Source organism: Homo sapiens, chromosome 2 (genome assembly GCF_000001405.40).
Source record: "Homo sapiens chromosome 2, GRCh38.p14 Primary Assembly".
Taxonomy (NCBI): domain Eukaryota; kingdom Metazoa; phylum Chordata; class Mammalia; order Primates; family Hominidae; genus Homo; species Homo sapiens.
This window is the reverse complement of record NC_000002.12, coordinates 64508913-64533525: the sequence shown is the minus strand read 5'-3', so window position 1 is coordinate 64533525 and position 24613 is coordinate 64508913. Positions and strand designations below refer to the sequence as shown.

The following is a 24613-nucleotide window of genomic DNA, read 5'->3' as shown; positions in this document are numbered from 1 at the left end:
GTAATTCTTATTTTAAGTTGCTTTGTTAAAAAATCACAAATGGGGTTTTAAATGCCTTTTCAATATTTATGAAGATAATTATGTAAGTTTTCCTTAGATTTTTGTTTGTTTGTTTGTTTTTTGGAGGCAGGGTCTCACTCACTCTGTTGAACAGGCTGGAGTGCAGTGGTGTGATCTCAGCTCACTGCAGCCTCGACCTCCTGAGCTCAAGTGATCCTTTCATTTCAGCTTCCTGAGTAGCTGGGACTACAGGTGCCTGCCACCATATCTGGCTAATTTTTTATATTTTTTATAGAGATGGGGTTTTGTCATGTTGCCCAGGCTGGTCTCAAACTCTGGAGCTCAAGCAATCCACCCACCTTGGCCTCTCAAAGTGCTGGGATTACAGGCATGAGCCACCACACCTGGCCTAGATCTATTAATACAGCAGAAACATCAATACCTATTCATAATTGTCTTCAGCTTGTTTGATAGTTAGGAAGCCCAGTTTATTTTCTGCAGGAAAAAGGTAAATGTTTCCAAAGAATCAAATAAGCATTACGTAAGATTATCTACTTAATTACACATATGTCAAACGGTATGTATTTAAACTTATTTGATCTTACTCCTTGCCTTCATTTTTACACAAAGTGGGCTACAAAATAAATTTTCCCATAGGTATTAAACACACTCAAATTAGTAATACAAGTTTATCTAGGTTTCATCCTTACTCAATTTTCCCAAAACAATTTCATCTACCTAAGGCTTTTATTAATAATTACCATATTCTTGGACTCTCAGATTCATCTTTACAGCCTAGCCAAGCCAGTTCCCTGCTTAGACCTCTCCACTTGATTCCACAAAGATCTCAAACTGAGCTTAACAAGAACAGAGCTCAAGCTCTCTTCCCTTAAAGCTGGTCATGTTCCAGGGCTCTCTAACCCAGTTACCATACCAGAAACTTAAGATCCCCTTTGACAAAGCTCCTTATCCTTTAATATCTGTAACAAATGATTTCACCTCACAAATCCCTCAATTCTGGAATATCTACCTCTTTTCACCTCTGACTCCACTCTGGTCCAGAATGCCATTATCATCTAAACTAATCTCCCTAAGTAGTATTTGATCATGCCCAACCCAAGTAATCTTTTTAAAAGTCAAATTTGATCATGCCAATCCTCTTCTTGTGATAAAGATTTTTTTAAAAAAATTTTTAACAAAGACTTTAAACCATTCCTCTCTCTCCAGCCTTACTCCTCCTTTCCCTTATTGTTTTCAATGCTCTAGGCTAGGCCTTCTTCCAGTTTCTGAAAGGTAGATAATTAACATTCCCTTGTGCCACAGGGTCTTTGCACTTACAGTCCCAGTGCCTAAGACATTCCCACACATCCTTCAATTTTTAGGTGAAAGATCAATTCCTCAGGTAAGTTTCCTAACACCCTCCCTCAAGTCCTCCTACACATATTTCTTTCAGAGCATAAGAACCATAGTAAGTTATAGTTTGTGATCAAACACTTGTAACTTGAAAAATTACCGTGCAACCCATGTATACTACGAAAAATATATTGAGAGGTTTAAATGTAATATGTAATTTTAAAAAATCTATGTATTCCTTTCTATAAGAGTTAAGTTAATCTTATATTTTTTCTCTAAATAAAAAGTGTCATTTCTAGAGCTGGGCTGTCCAACTGACAACAATTAAGCCATATATGCAATTAAAAATCTTCTAGTAGCCACATTTAAAAAGAAACAGATGAAATTTTATCTAACCCAAAGTATCCACAATATTATTTTAACATGTGACCAATGTAAAATATTACTGATATATTTCACATTAGTTTTTAAAATCTGCTGTGTATTTTACACTGAAATCACATCTTAATTTGGGCTAGTTTCATTTCAAGTGACACATTTGGCTAGTGGCTACTGTATTAGACAAGATAGTTCTAGAAGATAGTACTGTATTTTTTTATACTTAAATAGCTTGCTAACAGAATAGGTTAACTTAAAAAGAGCATGGCATTAAGCAAGATTAATCTTATATCAAATAAAGGCATATCTCAGGTTTAAATCATTCAAAAATTTTAAATTATGCAAACATTCCACACTGCTGAAAAGCCTAAATTCAAAATAAAAATTCCAGTAATTTAAAAACTGCATATTACTGATCATCTGAGGAAATAAGGGAGATGGGGACCCAACCACTGCTGGTAGGAGTGATTTTATTATAACCTCTTAGAAAGTAACAGGCTTTCCCTCTGACTTAATAACTCTACTTCTAAGATTTGATCCTATGAAAATAATCAACAATAAGGTCAAAGAATTATGTACAAACTTTTTCACCAAGATGCTCTTCTATGATGGTAAAATCTGGAAAACCCACATTAGTGGGAAATAGCAGAGATAACTTGAAAATGGCATTCTACACAGTCATTAAAAAGCATGGTTTTTTTCATTTTGTGGTGTTTTTTTTTTTTTTTTTTTTGAGATGAAGTCTCACTCTGTCACCCAGACTGGAGTGCAGTGGTGTGATCTAGGCTCACTGCAATCTCCACCTCCCGGGTTCAAGCAATTCTCTTGCCTCAGCCTCCCGAGTAGCTGGGATTACAAGTGCCTGACACCACGCCTGGCTAATTTTTGTATTTTTAGTAGAGACGGGGTTTTACCATGTTGGCCAGGCTGGTCTCAAACTCCTGACCTCAAGTGATACTCCCGCCTCGGCCTCCCAAAGTGCTGGGATTACAGGTGTGAGCCACCACACCCAGCCAAAAAGCATGTTTTAAGGAAAATTTAGTAACATGGAGAAATGCTCACAATTTAATAAGTAAAAGAAAGATCAACGCAATATGATTCATATGTATATGTATGACATGCTCACATATCCACAGTAAAAATAAAACAGGAAGAAAACCAAAATATTAACAGTTTTCTTTTTGTAGTATGATGACCAGTGATATTTTTCTTCTATTATCCCTCTTAACATGTATTTATTGAGTGTTACTTTGTGCCAGGCATTAAAACAGAAGGGTTCCTGCCATCATGGGCACACCCATTTTCTTTCTACTTTTTTTCCACATTTTCCCAAATTTTCTATAATAAGCACATTATTTTTTCATAATTTTAATAACTGGAAAAACATAATATGATGTAGATAATGATTTGGGTAAATCAGTTGCCAGGGGACATTTTTGGGTGAACTGGGGAAGAATCTGAATATGGCCTTGAATATTAGTTTAGATGACTAAACTGACTTAAAACAAAAAAAACTACAAAACACTACAACAAGTCTTCATTTTGGTAAAAAGTACACATATATATTAAAATGTGTAGGAAAATATGCATTATTATATAAACTGTAACAGTGAGGGATTTGCTTTTTTTTGTTGTTGTTGAGACGGAGCCTCACTCTGTTGTCCAGGCTGGGGTGCAATGGCATGATCTTGGCTCACTGCAACCTCCACCTCTCAGGTTCAAGTGATTCTCCTGTCTCAGTCTCCTCAGTAGCCAGGATTACAGGCGGCCGCCACCATGCCTGGCTAATTTTTCTATATTTTTAGAAGAGACGGGGTTTCACCATGTTGGCCAGGCTGGTCTCCAACTCCAAACCTCAAGTGATATGCCCGCCTTGGCCTCCCAAGGTGCTGGGATTACATGCGTGAGCCACTGCGCCTGGCTGAGGGATTTTTTTAAAGTAATTTTTCCAGCCTGGGCAACATAACAAGGCCCTGTCTCTACTACTAATAAAAACAATTAGCCAGGCATGGTGGTGTGCGCCCGTGGTCCCAGCTATTTAGGAGGCTGAGGCAGGAAGACTGCCTGAGCCCAGGAGGTCTGTGCTGCAGTGAGCCATGATCACTCCACTGTACTCCAGCCTGGGTGACACAGTGAGACTCTGTCTCAAAAAAAAAAAAAAGTGATTTGTTTTTTTTTGCTTGTCTATTTTCTATGATGCTCCTGTATGCCTCTGCAATAAGACTATTTTAAAAAATTTAAATATGTATACACCCACTATTTACTGAGCATCTATTACATACAAAACTGTGGTAGAACTGAGTAAAAGGAGTCACAACCTTAAAGAAACTTACAGCTAATTAAGGAGAATAATACAAGAGAACAGCAAAAATAATGCAAGATAGAATATAAACATCACTGAAGTAAAATGTGGCTACCAAGATTCTAAGAAAAAGATCACACTTGATTGGGAAGAGAAGGAATGGTGAAAAAAAAAAAACTTCAAAAAGGAGAAAATTTGAAATAGGAAGGATTTAATTGACAGAGGAAATGGTAGTCATTAAAGATAAAGCATGGGGCCCCTATCAAGGAACAGTAAGACACATAATAAAATATGGTTAGAACACAGGATATATGAAGGGTACAGGCAGTAAGCTGGAAACATAGGTTGCAAGGGCCTTGAATTTTCAGAAGGGAGTGCCTCTGTAAGCTTTCTGAGTTTAAAAATGAGGGAATTATTGCAGATTCCAATTCAAGAAACTGTCCTACCACTTCTCATCTCTACTGCTACCATCTTGGTTCATGCCACTACCATCTCTTCTTAACTCTACCAGCACAATTCTCTCCTGACTCTGCTTCTATTCTTACATTCCACTCCTATAGTCTATTTTCTATATAACAGCTAGACAGATCCTTTTACAACATAAATTATCTTACACCTTTACTCAAAAATCCTGCAATGACTTACCATCTCCCACAGTAAAAAGCCTAAGTCATTAGAATTTCTGTAAGGACCCTAAAACACTGCCCCTCTCACCCTCTAACTCTGATCACAATTTGTACTACTCTTCTACTTGTTCACCCTATTCTATCCACCCCAGACTTCTCTGCCACAATTTCTTGACTATTCCAGGCATACTTCTGTCTCTACCACTCTTCTTATTTGCTTCCCCTTCTTCAGGTTTAAGCCTTCTCTGACTCCACTCTATATAAAACAGCAAGCCCCACCAACCTCCCTTACTACTGGCTCAAAGCAAAAAATTCACCACTCCCTATCCCCCAAAACTGATTCCATTTTTCTGATGATACTTAACATCATCTGCCATTATTGCTATTGCTTATTTTATTGCTATTTGCTTATTTGTCCCAAATATGTACACAAATGTGTGAGTACATACATATATACATAAAGAAACTGAAGCTGTAGGAGGGCAGATTTTTTTTCTTGTTTGCTCATTTCAGTATCCCCAGCACCTAGAACAGGGCCGGACAAATAGCAGGTGCTCAATAGATACTTGTTTTATGAATGAAAGGAAGAAGATAACATGCATGGTGTCAGTAGATATTTAATTGAAATGGTTTATGGTATACTGTAAATATTTACATAAATAGAACCTACAGTAAATTAATTCTCATTTACTGTGTAATTTTCCGATGGGAATTATTCACAAATACAGTGCTAGTAAATTAACCTTTAATTAATTAGCAATCTATCTTTGCAAGGTTTATCTTCAAGTTAGCTATTTGGAACAAGGGTGACAGTGACTGACAACCATAGGATGGAGTCTTAAATCATTATTTCCCTCTTCTTCTCAATTATCCCAAATCAATAAGCAGTGATTCCCCACCTCCTTTCTTCCTCCCCACTTAGTTCTGACCTTTTCCCTTTTCTTGGGAATAGGTCTAATCCACAGACCTATGAGCCCCTACCCTAGAAGGGAAAGGCCAGAAATAGACACTAGGAGTGTGACAAAGGGCTGTTAAATGGTTGCCAGCAATAGGGAAGAGTCCAGGCAAGGGAAGTTAATGCAGAGGAATCTGGAGAGGCAAACAATTCTTAATTAAAAACATTTTTTTAACTTAGAAGCTCCTTGTATTTTAAAAGAAAGTCAACACAAAATAATACTAACTCCTTTCCTGTCCTTTTTTTAAATATACAATGCTGAAAGAAGAGTGATACTTTATATATGTTTTAAAGTTAAATACCTAAACTTTTAATTTCTTTTTTTTTTTTTGAGATGATGTTTTGCTCTTGTTGCCCAGGCTGGAGTGCACTGGCATGATCTCAGCTCACTGCAACCTCCGCCTCCCGGGTTCAAGCGATTCCCCTGCCTCAGTCTCCCGAATAGCTGGGATTATAGGCATGTGCCACCACACCCGGCTAATTTTGTATTTTCAGTAGAGACGGGGTTTCTCCATGTTGGTCAGGCTGGTTTTGAACTCCCGACCTCAGGTGATCTGCCCACCCCGGTCTCCCAAAGTGCTGGGATTACAGGTGTGAGCCACCATGCCCGGCCTTTAAACTTTTAATTTCATTGTGAAGAACTTCATGCAAACCTTAGGGAGAAAAAAGCCATAATGAATGAGCCAGTAACCATCACCCAGGTGTGTTAAATCTTAATCTCTTAACAAGTCAACTTCGGATTTTTTTTAAGGATATAAAGATATGTTTGTAAACCCATGGGCCCCTCCTAGATCCTTCATCCCTCTCAAGTTCTCCAAAGGTCACTTTTAGTCTGACTTGGTGTTTATCATTCCCATGCATGTTGTTATACTTTTGCTACATATTGCACAAATCACAGACAATACATAGTATAGTTTTGCATGAGACTATATAAATGGTCTAGCAAACGGATCTGTCACTTAACAGCTGTTTGACCTAAGGCAAGTTACTTAGTATCTGTGTGCCTCAGTTTCCTCTCTGAAAAATGAGGGATACTACTACTTACTGCCTTACAGGTTGTTGTGTGGATTGAGTTAGTACACTGTATATAAAGCATTTAGAAAACTATCTTGCTCATAGGAAGCAATATATATGAGCAACATATATACTGCTCATGTGTTAGCAATTATCATATAAAGCTGCAAAAGAACTTGTGACTATATCTGATATATGCACAAACTGAGAAAATGATTAGCAAAATGAGATATGTAAAATCCATACAATGCCAGATTTTCAAAATAGTGTAAAAACTAAAAATACTTATAAAGTTCCGGCTAGAAAGGTTCACTATTCTACTTAAAAAGGAATTGAAAGTGCTAAGAATAGAGGGAAAAACCTTTATTTTTTAATCTACAAAGTGTAGGTAACATTAAATTAGAATATAAACATTTTATTTAAATAATTTATGATGATTAAAAAATATCTAAATACTTAGCGGCCTCCTTTTATGAGATTTGGGGGAAGGGTTGGGAGAGAAGGGGCAATCCCTTAATGAGAAGCTATTCAAAGACTTTGCCTGCTGAGGAAAGCACTTTAGATTTCACACAAAATAAAACATTATTTGGTACTCAAATGTCACTACATTTCTGAACTAGTTTTTCACTAAATGTAAGCAGAACAAATGAAAATGTAAAATGATGTTTTATGATATGATTCACCCACACTATACAATTTTCATAACGAAAACTGGATTCGGCAAGATGTATCAAGGCTATTAAGGACATATTATCCTTGTTGTGATACGGGATTATTTTTTAACAGTCTCTAGGTCAAAAGATCAGCAAACATTAAAACTTAAATGCCCTACATATTATGTGAATTGTAGTGGATTTTTTTCCAGAGGTTTTTGAAGATTTAAAAATATATGTGTACTTTGAAGATCAACTGATATATCTAATTTAATCCACGGAGGAACAACTAGAGCTAATGAATATCTGCTAGGTGCCATTTACTGGGCTAGATGTTTTACACAAGATCTGTCTTTTAATCCATGTGAAATATCTTTATGAACAAAATTTAGGAGACTACCACAGATACTTTGTTTAAACAAATATACCTCTGCGAAGTGTTAAAAATGACTACTAAAAAAGCCAACATTTAAACTGGTAAAGCATATAAAATGTACGTGACTGTGTTAATTATATTAACATAATAATGTTGAAACATTTGTTGTCCCTAGAGTTTAGCATATATTTTAATGTCTAAGAGGTTAACTGAAAGCAACAATTAAGTGTAGCATCAAAGATAAACTCTGTGTCTCCCCTCCACCAAATAAAATCCTCGGAATAGGAGGTGGAAGGAAGACTTACACTGTAGGAAAAGTTGAAAACCAAAGTTCTACTTTACTTCTCCTAAAGTGAGAACTTTGAAACGGAACCATTACTTTTGTTTCATCCCCCCGCCCAGTAAAAAATTTACATGTATGAGTCAGTTCTTCCCTCGGCCCCAACAGAAAAGATTCAGTATAACCAAGCTATAACTTGCACAAAGCAACAAGGAAAAAAAAACCTTGCTATCCCCATTACTTTCCTAATAGAGCAAGGACCCTACCACCCCTCACTCCATACTCTGCCTCTGCCCCAAGCAAGACGCAGCACCTGCCAAACCAGGCACTTAAGGAATATGGTCCAACTTTTCAAACGCAAACTGGAGAGGAGACGCAGATAATTTCTTGAAGAGTGCAAGAAGACAGCAGAAAAGGTACTCTGAGGAAGGGATGCGTGAGCTTTGGGGCTGTCCCCTCTGCCTGTTGGAGGATTCCAAATTCGCTTGCTTCAGAGACCCTTGGAAGCAGCACACTCAGGTCGCGGCCAGCCTCGGGCCTCGGTGAAGGAGGCAGTGTTTACACCTGTCACGAGGGAGGGGGAAGGAGAGCGAAGAAGCCCAAGCAAAGCCCCAAACTTCTGAACAGCTCCCTGGAGAACGCAGCCAGCGCGGAGCTTTGGGAGGTGGAAGCAAAGGGGCAGGGAGAGCCGGCGGTGGCCGGGGAGGGAAGGACTCCCACTTACCCGGCCGGTGCCCGGGATGGCGAGGAGGGGGCCGTGCGCTTCGGGCGCCACCAGCGGCGTTCCCGCACTCGCCGCAGAAGAGAGCAGAGCCGGGAGCCCGCAGGCCCGCAGAGCCAGCTCCGTCCTCACAGCTCCCGGCTCCGCGGCGGGCAGATGCTCCCGGCCCGGGTGAGGGTCTGGCTGCTGGGCCGGGCCTGGTCCCCGCACCCTCTTTCCCCGGCGCAGCTAGGGGAGCGGAGCGGCGGCGCTTACCTGGCTCCTTCGGGGCGGCTGCGATGGGCATGGCTCAGGGGCCCGGGGAGGAACTGACTCCCCGGGGAAGGACCGTCTATTCCGACGCGGAACTGGTGAGAGCGGAAGGCCGGCTGCTCACAGCCCTGTCAGCGCAGCAGCACCATGGACGCCCACCCGGAGTTTCACCGCTGCCGCGGGACCCCCATCCCACTACCCTCCGCCCTCTTCCGCCGCCGCCGCCGCCTCCTCCACCTCCTCCGCGGAGACCCCCCGCCCACTCCACACACTCTCCCATCATGCAGCGGGGGAACCGCTGCCGCCGACACGTCACTTCCGGGCGCAGGTGGCTAGGTCGGGACCGGGCGCTGGTGGGTGCTGTGGGGTGGGGGAGGACACTCCAGGGGAATTGGTGTCACAGAACGCTTATCCCTGCGCAGGCGCTGTCGTGCAGAGCGCCGACCGCCATTTTGGGTGCGGGCAAGCTGCCCTTTCCTTTTACTTCCTTGCGAGTCATAGAGCTGTAGGGGGATAGACGTCTTCCCGCACTCAGGCGCCGGTTGAGGCTGCGCTCCTGGCGAAGGACAGGTGCTCCTTTCAGCCGGTTAACGTTCAGCTCAAGACCGGATTAAGTCTCTTGCTCTCCAAATAAAATTGTAAAGGTTTGGAAATATAGAACCACATTTTTACCAAAAACCTACTAGAGAGCATTCGTCAGCTTGCCCTTTTCGCCCCGAAAAACGACTTTTTCATTCACAGCCTGTCTCTTCCTCTTTTTAAATTTATGCCGACAGAGGAAGAAGCTGATATTTAACAAATAACAAGAGGTTGCGATAAATAGAATTTAAGGTGGGAAAGCAGCCGCCAAACTGACAAATCGTCTTCGAGACCGACAAGAAAATAGTAGTCCGGAATTTGGCTAATGGATGGAGAAGGTGGTCGTTTTTCATAGACCCTTACGGAGAATATCTAGTGAAGCTAAAGAGATCACCATAAACTTATGCATTCAAACGCATTTCTGGAACAGAGGTCGTAACCGATTTTGTTTCCATCATCAGTCCTGAACAGTTGATTATTTATATAATCAACTGTTATTTATATAAAGGTAATAAAAATATTACCTTTCCTCCTCCTTTACAATGAATATCTGTTAGAACACCTGCCAGTGTAACAATCAGACTACAAGGCTACAGGATTATGATTACTGTCTCGGATGATGAGCCCGGGGTCCTACAAATCATGACCCCCGCCGGCCCCTCATTCTGCCCATATTTGCCAAACGTCTGCATCAGTAATTTGAATAATTTAAAATAGTTCCAAAACAGCAAAGCTCAGCAGTTACGCAAAGAAACAAGAATGGAAAACATCCCCTCAGGCACAGAGAAGTGTCCACCCCTTTGGGTGGAGGAATTATACAAATCAGGAGAAAGATAAGGACAATAGCAGTTCATCACGATTTATCCCGCCTCTGCAATGTTCTAGACAAATTAACTCGGAGCGCTCCAATGGACCCGCATTTGTCTCTTTACTATTCAATCGCTGTAAGATATACGGAGACTGCATCACTTTAAATGGGAGTATCAATTGCTTTGTGGTTATGCTGGATTTTGTGTTATTGCTCAGTCACTAAAGTAAGAAAAATCTATATGGCTTGTCAAATTTATGCCTATTGTATTTCGCCCCCTGCTGGTTTAGCTCGTGTGCAAGCTTGAATTTGTGTGTGTGTAGAAACTAGAAATTGATTTTAAACGAACACATGCTTGTTTTCATTTTACAGCTCTACTAAACAGAAATATCAAAATAAGAACATATGACTAGACCTTAAAGCAGACCCTACACTAAGAACATGTTTAAACTAAATGAATTTAAACTGCACTCCAGCCTGCGCGACAGAGTGAAACCCTGTCTAAAAAAAAATTAAATTAAATTGCACACCCCCCATCAGCTTACAATTTTGTAATAGGGAAATTGAGTACCTATTTGGCCAACTAACTTGTAATTGGTAATCTTACATGTAATTCCGAAGACAGTGCCCTAATGCTCATGACATTTTATTACAAAGGGAAAGTATTTGAGTGTTTTTAAGGTGATAAATCTGTGGGAAATATAAAGTCCATTTCATTTGGAGTCAATGATAGTATTGTTTTTATTTACCTTTTAAAAATTATGGCCATAACTGCATTACCTAAGATTTGGCATCAAGAAAAGAAGAAGAAAAAAATTACCAGTTAACATTTGTTGTATTTACTTCTAGTTTTTTTTTCCTGTGCGTACTTTTTACAAACTTGTAATCATAATTTAAGTAGATTTTGTGTCCCTTTTGTGTTGTAAGCATTTCCACCCATCGTTTAATGTAAAACCTTAATTTTAATTGGCTGCTTAGTAGTCAATGGAATGACCACTATATGGATAGTTTTCAGTATTATAAAATAATACTTAGATGAACATTTTGTGTGTGTGGCTTTGTTCAATTTTAGAATTTTTTTTCTCAGTATAAAAGTTACTAAGCGAAAAGGCAATGAATGTTTTATTGGTAATTTATCATCTCATATTATTTTCCAAGAGACTGCTAATTTAGAATGCCACCAGCAATATATGAGTGCACTAATTTTACCACCTCCTTACCAACCAGCAGTGAATGATAATTAAGAGGGGAAAAAAAGATGGAAAGAATAAAAAGTGAAAACAGTTTAATTCATTTTATATTGTGTAAGAAATTAACAGACAAGCAAGAACAAAACCTCAGCAATGTGTTGGTGTTCTGGAAAAGCAATATGCGTAGAACCTGGGTCTATGACCAGTTCTGTTGTCACTATGATTTTGTATAAGTTACTCAACCTCTCTTGACCTCAGTCTCCTTATATAACAAATGAGAGAATACAGTCAGATCACAGGTTCTCAACCCTCTTAGGACAAATAATGTTTTGGCACATGTATCTCTTTAAGAATACGGTAAAAGCTTTGGCTCTTTCTATAGAAAAATGCTTGTATCCACAGACACTCAAATTTCTCATCCTAAAGCTCATTCACAGAAGAGGGTCTTTGAACCACAGCTTAAGAAATATGCACCAGATAATCGCCAAGGTCCTTTCTGTATCTAAACATTTACTTAAAATTTTATTTATTTATTTATTTATTTATATTTTTATTTTTTTGAGACAGGTTCTCCCTCCATTGCGCAGGCTGGAGTGCAGTGGTGCCATCACGGCTCACTGCAGACTCAACCTCCTGGGCTCAAGGGATCCTCCTACCTCAGCCTCCGAAGTAGCTGGGACTGCAGGTGCATGTCATCACGCTCAGCTAATTTTTTTATTTTTTGTAGAGATGGGGTCTCACTATGTTGCCCAGGTTGGTCTCAAACTCTTGGGCTCAAGCAATTCACCCACCCTGGCTTCCCAAAACGCTGGGATTACAGGTATTATGTCACCACTACCTCTTGAAATATGTCCTTCATACAGTTCTATAAAAATAGGTTATTAGGCTGGGCATGATGGGTGACGCCTGTAATCCCAGCACTTTGGGAGGCCGAGGTGGGCAGATCACTTGAGCCCAGGAGTTCAAGACCAGCCTGGGTAACATGGTGAAACTCCATCTTTACAAAAAATTAGCCAGGTGAGGTGGCATGCTCCTGTAGTCCCAGCTACTCGGGAGGCTGAGGTAGGAGGATCACCTGAGCCCATGAGGTCAAGAATGCAGTGAGTTGTGATTGCGCCACTGCACTCCACCCTGGCTGACAGAGCAAGACCCCTTCTCAATAATAATAATAATAATAATAATAATGAGCGACTTTCCCAAAGTGTGATGAGCAACAGAGATTTTGTTTCTTAATCATTCCCACTGATCTTTCTTGGATTTGCTTATCAAATTTATTGCATAAATAATAAAAATTACAATTTGGTGTTATAGTACTTCCTGGAGTACTGGATATCTAGAACTTTATGGACATATTCAATGTATCAGGGAAAATATTGAATATTTCAATATTTAATATGTCTTAACCTGTTAAGACAGTATTAATTTTATCCATAAAATTGGAGAGGTAGGGAAGAAACTGCTGTTTGACTACATTATTTCTAAAGGTGCTGAAACTTTTTCAGCAAATTTTTTAAAGGCTCAAATTCTGTATATAAAGTTCTAACAAATTTTATAGAACTTTCCAACGAAAAACTTTTGAAGGATGGGCTTCTGGTAGTGGTAATTGACCTGAATACGTAACATTTAAATCAAAGACCTCAAACTAATTTCCTAGATTTATCTAGACATATTCTTTTGCTACATGAGGACCAGCGTTCCACCCCCTTTGGAGGATTTGACAACAAGGTGCCATCTTGGAAGCAGAGAACAGCACGCACCAAACAACCAAATCTCTTGGCACCTTGATCTTGCACTTCACAGCCCCAAGGACTGAACCTGTACCCACTCATGGGCTTACCACATATGGAGCAATATAGATGGAGTGTTCTCCTGAAGGGAGCTGCAGCCCAACCTTCTTCTTTATTCTAGTCTTCAAGCCTCTCTTTTGGCTCTGAGCAAAGCTTTGAAGGGCTCATTATGTGCTATAATGGTTCCACTATCAACCTGCTATGTTGTGAAATTCAGCCTGATCACCTGGAGAAAACATGACCTTTCTGAGCAACTTGTCTCTCAGGAGAAAAGTCTCCTTTATTTTGAAGGAGATTGGCCTCAGGGCACTGTGGAAGTGATAACTCTATTTCTACTTTTGTCCCTTATTTCAAGGTGAAGAGAAGTGGAAACCTTGCAGTGAGTCATGACAAAAATATATAAAGTAAAACATTAAAATTAATTTCACCTGTTTCTTTTTACTTTTTAAAACTAGCTACTAGAAAATTTTAAATCACAATGTGGCTCACATTATATTTCTATTGTACAATGCTGAACCTTTGTTTAAAACCTACATCTGTCTTTAAATTTGTGTAGTCATAGGATCCAGGGAAATACAATAGAAATAGTTTTCATGCAATTTTAACAGTTGCATGAAGGCAGAGACTTCTGTCTGCTTTATTCATTTCTATATTCCCAACTTCAAGAAAGTGGCCTGGTACATGGTTGATGGCGATACATATTTATTCAGTAAATGACATTCCATTGAATGAGTGGCGTGGGTAGTTCTAGAAAAAAAAATTTAATGTATTTCTGTTTTTTTTGTTTGTTTGTTTGTTTGTTTGTTTGTTTTTTGAGATGGAGTCTCTCTCTTGTTGCCCAGGCTGGAGTGCAGTGGCGCAATCTTGGCTGACTGCAACCTCCACTTCCTGGGTTCAAGCGATTCTCCTGCCTCAGCGTCCCTAGTAGCTGGAATTACGGGTGTGCGCCACCTTGGCCAGCTAATTTTTGTATTTTTAGTACAGACGAGGTTTCACCATGTTGGCCGGTCTGGTCTTGAACTCTGGACCTCAGGTGATCCGCTTGCCTTGGCCTCCCAAAGTGCTGGGATTACAAGCATGAGCCACCACGCCCAGCTGAAAAATTTAATGTATTTTTAATAGCTTTCTTGAGGCTTTGCTATTTATCATGTCTTTCAATTGTTTTATAGTTATACAGGTGTAATATCAATTTATGATCCTATCCTTGATTATTATTTTTGTAATTTTTCTTTTTAAATTAATTAACAATTTACTGAACACCTTTATGCACTCAGCTTCCTCTATTTCTGTGCTGAGGGACTGTAAAGAAACAGGCTTTGGTTCCTGCCCAGAAACAGGAGTTAACAGTCTAGTTGGGGAGACAAGACTGATATACCTGAAACAATTGTCACCTTGAAACTTCTGATTCTATCAAATGGAGAATAATTAAGTGCTGAAGCTGCATAGGATTGACAATAAAAGTAACAAGTTCAAAGAAGAGGAAGATCTGCTGGAATAGTTTGAGAAATGCTTCATTTCAGATATGTGTTTGCCCCAGTGTATCCAATTGTTCTGCTGAGGAGTACTTCTCCAGCTCCTTGAGGCCCCATGCATTAGGCCCTCCCCTTCCCAAAAACCAGCCCTTCCTCTCTGCGGGGGTCCCAGAGGGAGCTTCTCTCAACCCTATAGCTGTTCCAGTAAAGTATGGTTTGTCCAGGCACTGTTCTCATGCTGCAAGTCTTGAATGATCTCAGATGTCTTTGGAGGCTAGGATCTTGTATATAAAGAATTTAGGGATAATCCTCTCATTGTTATTTCTCAGGAGCCCACCACTTTCACTTCAAAGTCTTTAACATGTTCCATGTACCCCTAGCTCCAAAGCTACTCTCCTGGCTATCTCTTCTTCGAGTCTTCATTCAAGTGGCCCCATGAAGAGCACCAGTGGAACTTCCCATTGCCCTTTGGGAACTCCAACCAGATCAATGCCGTGAACCCAGAAGCTGCTCCTGGCCCTGAGATGATGCTCCTTCAAGACTGTCCCAAGCCTGGGCAACACAGGGAGACCCCATCTCTACAAATAATAAAAAAAATTAGCCGGGTGTATTGGCGCACACCTGTGGTCCCAGCTACTTGGGAGGCTGAAGTAAGAGGATCACTTGGGCCTGGGAGGTTGAGGCTGCAGTGAGAAGTGACTGAGCCACTGCACTCTAGCCTGGGGGACACAGTGAGACCCTGTCTCAAAAAAAGACAGTCCCCCACACTTCTCTATTGCAGCCAGGCCTGGGATGCTGACATTGTGCTGTCAGAAAGAGGCAGCTTGGTACATGAACAGGATCAGCTTCAAAGTGGGATCGGCCCAGATATGAACGTTAGCAACATCATAGAACCTTGCAGAGAACTTTCCTCAGCTGCAAAAATCAAGAAAATGTTCCCACCCCACAGAGTTGCTATCCAGCTGAAATGAATTAATGTATGTAAAAGATTCCTACATTGAGCCCAGTATTAGTCTCTTAATGGAAAACCCTACTGTCACCAAATTGACCTTTCCCCCAGACCAAAGATTCTCAAATGGGGCAATGTTGACACAAGCCCCTCCCCACCAACCTGGTGACATTTACCTATGTCTGGAGACACCATTAGTTGTCACAACTGATGTGGGGCTACAACTGGCATCTAGTAGGTAGAGGCTAGGAATATCCCTAAACATCCTACATTACAGATGAAAGCCCCCCAAAATGCAGAATTATCCAACCCAAAATATCAGTCGTGCCAAGTTTGAGAATGAACTTGTTTCAGAACACCCTTAAGCTGCCAATTGCCACTGATACTGCCTCAGAGAATTCTGTCTACTGGGGCTGCTAATTCTGAGTCCCTCAAGTGTCTGCCGCTGCTCCCCTGAACACACGGTCACACTGGCTTTCCAGAGATTGTCAATGCCGAACTCCCTGATGACATTTTGGACCTCTGGTGTGCTAGAGCTGAGACAGAGACGATAATTCTGGTGCTCTAGTCTGTGCCCATATTGAGTGCACCAGACTCTAAGTTCTTGTAGCTCTGTAGGGCCCATGAAATAAGTGTTGCTGTATTGTGTTGTTTTTCTTATTAGGAAATCAGAGCAGTCCTTACCCGGAACTGAGCAGGAGAGACCTGTGCAGAGGCTGTGCTGGGAGCTTGCCCTGGGGTATAGGAGGGTCTTGTTCTCAGATCCCAGTCAGAATCAGAGTGGGTGGGCACTTTGCTTCCCTTCATAAATACCATCAAGAGGAGCATCTGTCCTCTCAGGTGAGGGATTCAGCCCAAAGCCAAGGGCTCAGAGGCAGACAACATCTTAGGGGGCTGGTTAACACATCTCTCTACTACACTTTTGGTTCCACTGTGACCCTGTCTTAGACTATTTTGCCTCATCCAGCCTGGCAGGTATTATTTTTGCTTTGCTGCCTCCCTCCCCAACCCCCACTAAAAGACAAAGACAATTGAACACAGCGAGCCTCCTGATGTGATGCAATGTAAAGTACACAGATACAGAACTACACAGTATTCTTGCCAAACATATTTATCCTGGAATCTAAATAAGCCTTTAAATTCAGCTTCTAGTTTACAGGAAATACTGGAGGAACCAGTTAAATGGCACTATAAGGAAACAAGCATGCACATCTAGCATATGGATTATTTTACAAGACAGATAACTTTGTCTCTTCAAAAGTAATATTCTAGATTAAAAGAGACTTTAGAGGATTAATGACCAAGTGAAATGCATGGTTCTTGATTGAATTCTTATTTGAATAAACTAAGCCATTTCTAAAAGATATTTTGGAGATAGTTGAGGAAGCCTGAATATGGCCTGGCATTAAATATTCAGGGAATTATTGTCAATTTTTAAAGATAGAATAATGAAATTATAGAGATATAAGAGAATGTCCTTAGTTTTTGCAGATGGCCAAAATGTCATGATGTCTGTAACTGAATAGAAAAGTGCATAAAGCACATGCAAAACCCTTACCTGTACCTGATATTAGGCTACAAGCTCCTGGAGGACAGGGAATACCTTTTTCATCTTTATGCCCCCACAGCACCTGGGATAAGTCTTGACCTACTCGTTAATGCTTGTTAAGTGGTTAAATAATAAGCTAATAGCCAAAAGAAAATAAATGCCCCCTTGAAACCCTGTTTCAGAACACCCTGAAGCTGCCAGCTGCCACTGATATTGCCTCAGGTAATTCTGTCTACTGGGGTTGCTAATTCTGGGTCCCTCCAGGGTCTGCTGCTGCTCTCCAAAACTTAAAATCACTTGGGGGAGCCGCATTGTCAAACTAGCTTTCAAGAGATTTTCAATGCTGAACTCCCTGCTGACATTTTGGACCTCTGGTGTGCTAGAGCTGACAGAGACAATAATTCTGGTGCTCTGGCCTCTGAGCCCATATTAAACATTCAGGGAATTATTGTCAATTTTTTTTAAGATAGAATAATGAAATTATGGATATGTAAGATAATGCCCTTACTTTTTGCAGATGTCATGATGTCCGTAACTTATTTTAAGATAGTTCAGGAAAAATACTCCATGTACATAAAGAAAGCATGCCAAAATGCCAGCAATTATTAAATCAAATCTGGGTTGTGAAAATATTGTACCATTCTTTCTACTTTTTTCCACTTTGAATATATTCATAATGAAAAAGAAAATTTTAAAACACCTTAGTATGCAGATGAGATCTGGATTTATTTATTTCCAAATTACTGCATTCCCTAGGCTATCATTGTCAAATACACATTTCTGATCCTGGAACAGATCTTGTTAACAATGATCTTGAAAAGGATTTTAAAGATGTAGAAAGGAGAAAACCAGCAAGTACTGCAACTTCTGAATCAATTGTAATTAGTTTAAACCCTCTAATGTGCACAAATACAGTAGAATTACAACTCTGCTCAGCAAGGAGCAGTTCTAACGCAGTGTTAGCAAGAGAATGGCAGGAATTATATCATCATGAGTAGCGTGCTATTCAAGTGGCAGTGCCAGCTAAAGTCCTCTCTATGACTTTCCAATACTGTTCCCTCTGCTTTGAACGCTCTTCTTCCTTCTAACAGTGGACAATTGTCTTTTTGTTGTTGTCATTAATGGCTCAGCATCTAAACTCATTTCCTAGATTTCAGTAAATCTCCAACTTATGAGTCTAGGTAGGAGGGAAAGACTTCATCTGAGTATAAAAGCTGAAAATGCCAGTGTAGGGAATTAAAGATAGCTGCTTTTTTTTTTTTTTTTTTTTTGCCATTCCTTGCATTGTGAAATGGAGCTTGTCTTTCTTCTTGAGTGTGTGCTAGCCTGTGACTTGGTTTGACCACTAGAATGGGTAGAAGTGATGCTCTGTAACTTCCCAGGCTGAGCATTAAGAGATCTGAAGCTTCTCATCTTGTTGCTTGGGATGCTTCCTCTTGGAAGGGAGATATTTTGTAAAATGTACAACTATCTTCAGGGCACCATGCTGTGGAAGCCCAATCTATATGAAGAGGCCCCATGGGAGAACTGACCTGCTCTGACTGAGCTCACAGACGACAGCCAGCTATGTGAGCAAACTGTCTTGAACATCCCAGGCAGAAAAGCCTTCAGATGATTGATGACCCAGCAGATACCACTTGGAGCAGAAGAACTGTCCAGTTGAGCCAAGTCAACCTACAGAATATTGGGGTATAATTATGGTTATTGATGTTTTAAACCACTAAGGTGGTTTGTTGTGCAGTAATTGATATTGAAAACAGGGATACCTATTTTCCTAGCTTCCTTTGCAGCTGGGTGCAGTCCTGTGACCTAGGCTGGCCTGATCAGATGTCTCTGTCCCAGACTTTGTTTTGGGAGCCAGTGGCACTTAGAAGCAAGAACTACAGATAATTTTTCTCTGATGGTGATGTTAGCAGCTGCAGCAAGACTAAACTTCTGGGACACCAGGTGCTAGTTGCTGCTTAATGTCTATGGGTAGTGGTACTGGCAATGTCAGCTTCAGCAGTATCCTCACTAGACCAGTTTTCTGGCATGATTTTGAGAGATATTTCTGGCTATGTGGACTCTGAGTCCGGTTCTTGAGTAATCCAGGAAATTCTGTGAGCTACCTAACAACATTTTAATAAGTTTCTTTTCTGCTTAATCAGCCAATGCTGATTTCTGTTGCTGGTGACTAAGAACTCTGATGGATACAGCTGCCTCCTGTTTTTTCCTTAAGATAAAATTCAAAGCTCAAGAGTTACTCCTCCTGGAAGCCTTCACTGACATCCTATCTCCACTCTCCATCCCCAAATTTGTTGCTCCTCTTCTAGCCTCTGCAGTGCCTTGTGTGTGTCTATAATATTGTGTTTATCATATCCATTGGAATTTCTAATTTCCTAAACTGCCTGCTCCACGAAATTGATGACTTTAAAGGAAGGAACTGTATTTTAACTTCTATTTCTAGTGCCTAGGGTAGTGCTCATCTAACATTTATCAGGTGAATGCATAATTGAATAAATGAAATTGATGGTATGAAATTTAGTATGTTCCTAACAGCAACATAAATATACATCATTTCAAAGTTTCTTTACAATTTAGATTCTTGTCATAATAGAACATTGATAAGGTTCTACTAACAATAAAAATAGAGCAAATTACAGAATATTACATTTGTAAAACACCACTCTAAATTCTCTGGATATTACTGATATCCATAATCTTAATGAATTTCTTCTCAACCTAGTAATGGTTCCCCTTTAATGCACTGCCAGAACATTTTTCATTGTAATGCCAATGAATACTTTTACCCTTTCTGATGTAAAAATGTTGAAAGAGTGGGTTTTAAAAATCCATTTAAATGATATTCCCTAGAGTACTTTAACTATTTGGAAGAAGAGTTGTGTAAGAAAAATCACTTTAGAAGTAAAGACATGATAGATACACATCATCATGCTTTTAGCCCTGTGATTTAGTGAAGTCATTTCATTTAGTGAAGTCATGCTCTCATTTGAGAAGAGCATGGAGTTAAAGGTGAATGAAAATATTTGTCTCCCTCTCCCTCTCCCTCTCCCTCTCCCTCTCCCTCTCCCTCTCCCTCTCCCCACGGTCTCCCTCTCATGCGGAGCCGAAGCTGGACTGTACTGCTGCCATCTCGGCTCACTGCAACCTCCCTGCCTGATTCTCCTGCCTCAGTCTGCCGAATGCCTGCGATTGCAGGCACGCGCCGCCACGCCTGACTGGTTTTGGTGGAGACGGGGTTTCGCTGTGTTGGCCGGGCCGGTCTCCAGCCCCTAACCGCGAGTGATCCGCCAACCTCGGCCTCCCGAGGTGCCGGGATTGCAGACGGAGTCTCGTTCACTCAGTGCTCAATGGTGCCCAGGCTGGAGTGCAGTGGCGTGATCTCGGCTCACTACAACCTACACCTCCCAGCCGCCTGCCTTGGCCTCCCAAAGTGCCGAGATTGCAGCCTCTGCCCGGCCGCCACCCCGTCTGGGAAGTGAGGAGTGTCTCTGCCTGGCCGCCCATCGTCTGGGATGTGAGGAGCCCCTCTGCCTGGCTGCCCAGTCTGGAAAGTGAGGAGCGTCTCTGCCCGGCCGCCATCCCATCTAGGAAGTGAGGAGCGCCTCTTCCCAGCCGCCATCACATCTAGGAAGTGAAGAGCCTCTCTGCCCGGCCGCCCATCGTCTGAGATGTGGGGAGCGCCTCTGCCCCGCCGCCCCATCTGGGATGTGAGGAGCGCCTCTGCCCGGCCGAGACCCCGTCTGGGAGGTGAGGAGCGTCTCTGCCCGGCCGCCCCGTCTGAGAAGTGAGGAGACCCTCTGCCTGGCAACCACCCCGTCTGAGAAGTGAGGAGCCCCTCCGCCCGGCAGCTGCCCCGTCTGAGAAGTGAGGAGCCTCTCCGCCCGGCAGCCACCCCATCTGGGAAGTGAGGAGCATCTCCGCCCGGCAGCCACCCCGTCCGGGAGGGAGGTGGGGGGGGTCAGCCCCCGGCCCGGCCAGCCGCCCCATCCGGGAGGGAGGTGGGGGGGTCAGCCCCCCGCCCGGCCAGCCGCCAAGTCCGGGAGGGAGGAGGGGGGATCAGCCCCCCGCCCGGTCAGCCGTCCTGTCCGTGAGGGAGGAGGGAGGTCAGCCCTCCGCCCGCCAGCCGCCCCGTCTGGGAGTTTGAGGGCGCCTCTGCCCGGCCGCCCTACTGGGAAGTGAGGAGCCCCTCTGCCCGGCCAGCCGCCCCGTCCGGGAGGGAGGTGGGGGGGTCGGCCCCCCGCCCGGCCAGCCGCCCCATCCGGGAGGGAGGTGGGGGGGTAAGCCCCCCGCCCGGCCAGCCGCCCTGTCCAGGAGGGAGGTGGGGGTGTCAGCCCCACGCCCGGCCAGCCGCCTCGTCCGGGAGGGAGGTGGGGGGGTCAGCCCCCCACCCGCACAGCCGCCCCGTCCGGGAGGGAGGTGGGGGGGGTCAGCCCCCTGCCCGGCCAGTGGCCCCGTCCGGGAGGTGAGGGGCGCCTCTGCCCGGCCGCCCCTACTGGGAAGTGAGGAGCCCCTCTGCCCGGCCAGCCGCCCCGTCCGGGAGGGAGGTGGGGGGGTCAGCCCCCCCGCCCGGCCAGCCGCCCCGTCCGGGAGGTGAGGGGCGCCTCTGCCCGGCCGCCCCTACTGGGAAGTGAGGAGCCCCTCTGCCCGGCCAGCCGCCCTGTCCGGGAGGGAGGTGGGGGTGTCAGCCCCCCGCCCGGCCAGCTGCCCCGTCCGGGAGGGAGGTGGGGGGGGGCCAGCCCCCACCGCCCAGCCAGCCGCCCCGTCCGGGAGGTGAGGGGCGCCTCTGCCCAGCCACCACCCCGTCTGGGAGGTGTGCCCAACAGCTCATTGAGAACGGGCCAGGATGACAATGGCGGCTTTGTGGAATAGAAAGGCGGGAAAGGCGGGGAAAAGATTGAGAAATCGGATGGTTGCCGTGTCTGTGTAGAAAGAAGTAGACATGGGAGACTTTTCATTTTGTTCTGCACTAAGAAAAATTCCTCTGTCTTGGGATCCTGTTGATCTGTGACCTTACCCCCAACCCTGTGCTCTCTGAAACATGTGCTGTGTCCACTCAGGGTTAAATGGATTAAGGGCGGTGCAAGATGTGCTTTGTTAAACAGATGCTTGAAGGCAGCATGCTCGTTAAGAGTCATCACCAATCCCTAATCTCAAGTAATCAGGGACACAAACACTGCGGAAGGCCGCAGGGTCCTCTGCCTAGGAAAACCAGAGACCTTTGTTCACTTGTTTATCTGCTGACCTTCCCTCCACTATTGTCCCATGACCCTGCCAAATCCCCCTCTGTGAGAAACACCCAAGAATTATCAATAAAAAAATAAATTTAAAAAAAAAAAAAAAAAAGAAAATATTTGTCTAATCAAAAATCCAGCTACTAAATCAGGCTCCATTCATTGCATCAGGTCTCCAGGCATGGGGTATTGGCAGTTATGACATTTAGAGTTCCATGGGTGATGGTGACATGTACCAAAAGTTGAAAACTATTAAGACAAGGGGGCATTTATTTTCTTTTGGCTATTAATGTATTATTTAACCACTTAATAAGCATTAATGAGTAGGTTAAGGCTTGATCCCAGATGCTGTGGGGGCATAAAGATGAAAAAGATATCCTCTGTCCTCCATGAGTTTGCAGCCTAGTATCAGATACAGGCAAAGATTTTGCATGTGCTTTAGGCACTTTTCTGTATGTCCTATACTTCATTAAAACAATTATTGAAAAATAATTGTCTCTACCTTATGGATTTATATGAGGTCTAGGTGAGATGATGTAAATAAAGTGTTGAACACAAGGCGTGAGACATAATAAATACCAGCAAATGTTAGCTTTTGCTGCTGTGGTGGTGGTAATTGCATGTGCTGTATCTCTACTGGGTAAGAGGCCCATTCTCCTTTGGCTACATCAGCTGCATGGTTGGAGATAGATAAGTCATGCCAAGAGATGATGGCACACCTCTGAATACTGTGTCCCTCTTGTAACTCCTGAGCACAGGTTCAAGTGAATCAGTGTTTCAGGTGTTGCAAGGCCCCTCCTCACTGTGGTTCACAAAGCAGTTCCTAGAGTGGGATGAGGCAGAGTTGAATCTTGGGTTGTACTTGGGTGCAAAAGGGAACCTGTTAAAATCCATATATTAAGGAATTGGGGTTGATGGTTCTTAAGCTTTTGTGACCTTACTATAATACTTTTATCCTTCCATCAGCATTATACACATATGATGCTCAAATGTTTGTTGAATGAGCACATATGTCTCAAAAACATCAGTAGTTTTAAGTCTGTGTTGCCTTAAAGTCTATGTGTACATCCTGAACAATTTGAGTGCTGATCTTACCAACGCACCTGCTGAGAGAATTCATGTTATCCATTTTTGGTAACATTCAACCTAGAGAGGTGCTCCTGCAGCTCACTCTTGCCAGCTCCATCACAGATCAGCAATCTAGATTAGCCACACAGATTCCAAATCTTTCAGCCATATAGGGCAGCCCCTCTCTGGTAGGGTGTCTCAAGCCTCCCTTTGTTGAACTTGGTCTGTGGATCACTTCCAGACATGCTGGCCACCTTGCCATCTGTCAGGTTCGTTCATTTTTGCCAGTGCATCCTCCCCCAAATTCAACCTCAAAACAGCTTCCAGAGTGACCTATCTATATTACAAATCTAATTTTGCCATTTATTACCAAAAATATTTCACTAGTTTTGCCCAGCCTGCCTACATAATAAAAACAGAACTCTTTCACTTAGTAAACAAGATCTTTCATAATTTGCCATCAGTTTCCTATTGTGCTACTTCTTCATATGCACTCAATTACTTGAAGCTCCCTAAACATTTCTCAAGCATGCATTCATTTCCCACTTGATCCCCTCTGTCTAGAACACCCTTCTACCTAGTTAATGACTACAAGTCCTAGAAGACTTGCTCAGACGTCACCTTTGGGAAGATGTTTTGACTTGCTGGCCTGAGAATGCCCTTTTTCTTTTTCTTTTTTTTTTTTTTTTTTTTTTTGAGACGGAGTCTCGCTCTGTCGCCCAGGCTGGAGTGCAGTGGTGTGATCTCCGCTCACTGCTAGCTCCGCCTCCCGGGTTCACGCCATTCTCCTGCCGCAGCCTCCCGAGTAGCTGGGACTACAGGTGCCCACCACCACGCCTGGCTAATCTTTTGTGTTTTTAGTAGAGACGGGGTTTCACCGTGTTAGCCAGGATGGTCTCGATCTCCTAACCTCATGATCCGAGAATGCCCTTTTTCTTACTCCAGGGCATACTGGAGCAGGAAACACTCATCATATGGCACCATATCAGTTAAGGTCCTTGAGCGTAAATAAAGGTGGGATCCAGGAATATGGGATATTGATGTTAACCTGATCAAAATTAAACACA

General features: G+C 42.8%; 1 protein-coding gene, 1 long non-coding RNA gene and 1 other non-coding gene across 15 annotated transcripts in view, besides 7 other annotated features; 1 reads left to right on the top strand and 2 right to left on the bottom strand.

Moving 5' to 3' along the window:
- Positions 1–9198, bottom strand: part of AFTPH (aftiphilin) — a 68678-nt gene extending 59480 nt beyond the window's left edge. For all 13 annotated transcript variants that reach the window (NR_164746.1, NR_164747.1, NR_172363.1 and 10 more), the window contains exon 1: positions 8914–9198. The gene's annotated coding sequence lies outside the window, so the exon portion shown is untranslated. The remainder of the gene's footprint in view (positions 1–8913) is intronic.
- MIR4434 (microRNA 4434) lies at positions 7961–8013 on the bottom strand. The gene has a single exon (NR_039633.1). It is a non-coding gene; the product is annotated as a microRNA 4434 (primary transcript).
- Positions 8319–8819: an enhancer, noted in NCBI's record as "H3K27ac hESC enhancer chr2:64751841-64752341 (GRCh37/hg19 assembly coordinates)". NCBI's record gives its function as "activates a minimal SCP1, AML or CMV promoter by ChIP-STARR-seq in naive H9 embryonic stem cells {active_cell/tissue: H9 hESC(naive)}" and the evidence as "EXISTENCE:reporter gene assay evidence [ECO:0000049][PMID:30033119]".
- Positions 8319–9320: a biological region, named in NCBI's record as "H3K27ac hESC enhancers GRCh37_chr2:64751340-64751840 and GRCh37_chr2:64751841-64752341".
- Positions 8692–8941: a silencer, noted in NCBI's record as "silent region_11557". NCBI's record gives its function as "represses an Ori minimal core promoter by ATAC-STARR-seq in GM12878 lymphoblastoid cells {active_cell/tissue: GM12878}" and the evidence as "EXISTENCE:reporter gene assay evidence [ECO:0000049][PMID:35858748]".
- Positions 8820–9320: an enhancer, noted in NCBI's record as "H3K27ac hESC enhancer chr2:64751340-64751840 (GRCh37/hg19 assembly coordinates)". NCBI's record gives its function as "activates a minimal SCP1, AML or CMV promoter by ChIP-STARR-seq in naive H9 embryonic stem cells {active_cell/tissue: H9 hESC(naive)}" and the evidence as "EXISTENCE:reporter gene assay evidence [ECO:0000049][PMID:30033119]".
- Positions 8952–9031: a silencer, noted in NCBI's record as "silent region_11556". NCBI's record gives its function as "represses an Ori minimal core promoter by ATAC-STARR-seq in GM12878 lymphoblastoid cells {active_cell/tissue: GM12878}" and the evidence as "EXISTENCE:reporter gene assay evidence [ECO:0000049][PMID:35858748]".
- Positions 9062–9221: a silencer, noted in NCBI's record as "silent region_11555". NCBI's record gives its function as "represses an Ori minimal core promoter by ATAC-STARR-seq in GM12878 lymphoblastoid cells {active_cell/tissue: GM12878}" and the evidence as "EXISTENCE:reporter gene assay evidence [ECO:0000049][PMID:35858748]".
- On the top strand, positions 9371–11337 carry AFTPH-DT (AFTPH divergent transcript). The gene has a single exon (NR_136167.1). It is a non-coding gene; the product is annotated as an AFTPH divergent transcript (long non-coding RNA).
- Positions 9422–9641: an enhancer, noted in NCBI's record as "active region_15893". NCBI's record gives its function as "activates an Ori minimal core promoter by ATAC-STARR-seq in GM12878 lymphoblastoid cells {active_cell/tissue: GM12878}" and the evidence as "EXISTENCE:reporter gene assay evidence [ECO:0000049][PMID:35858748]".
- Positions 11338–24613: the final 13276 nt, after the last annotated feature.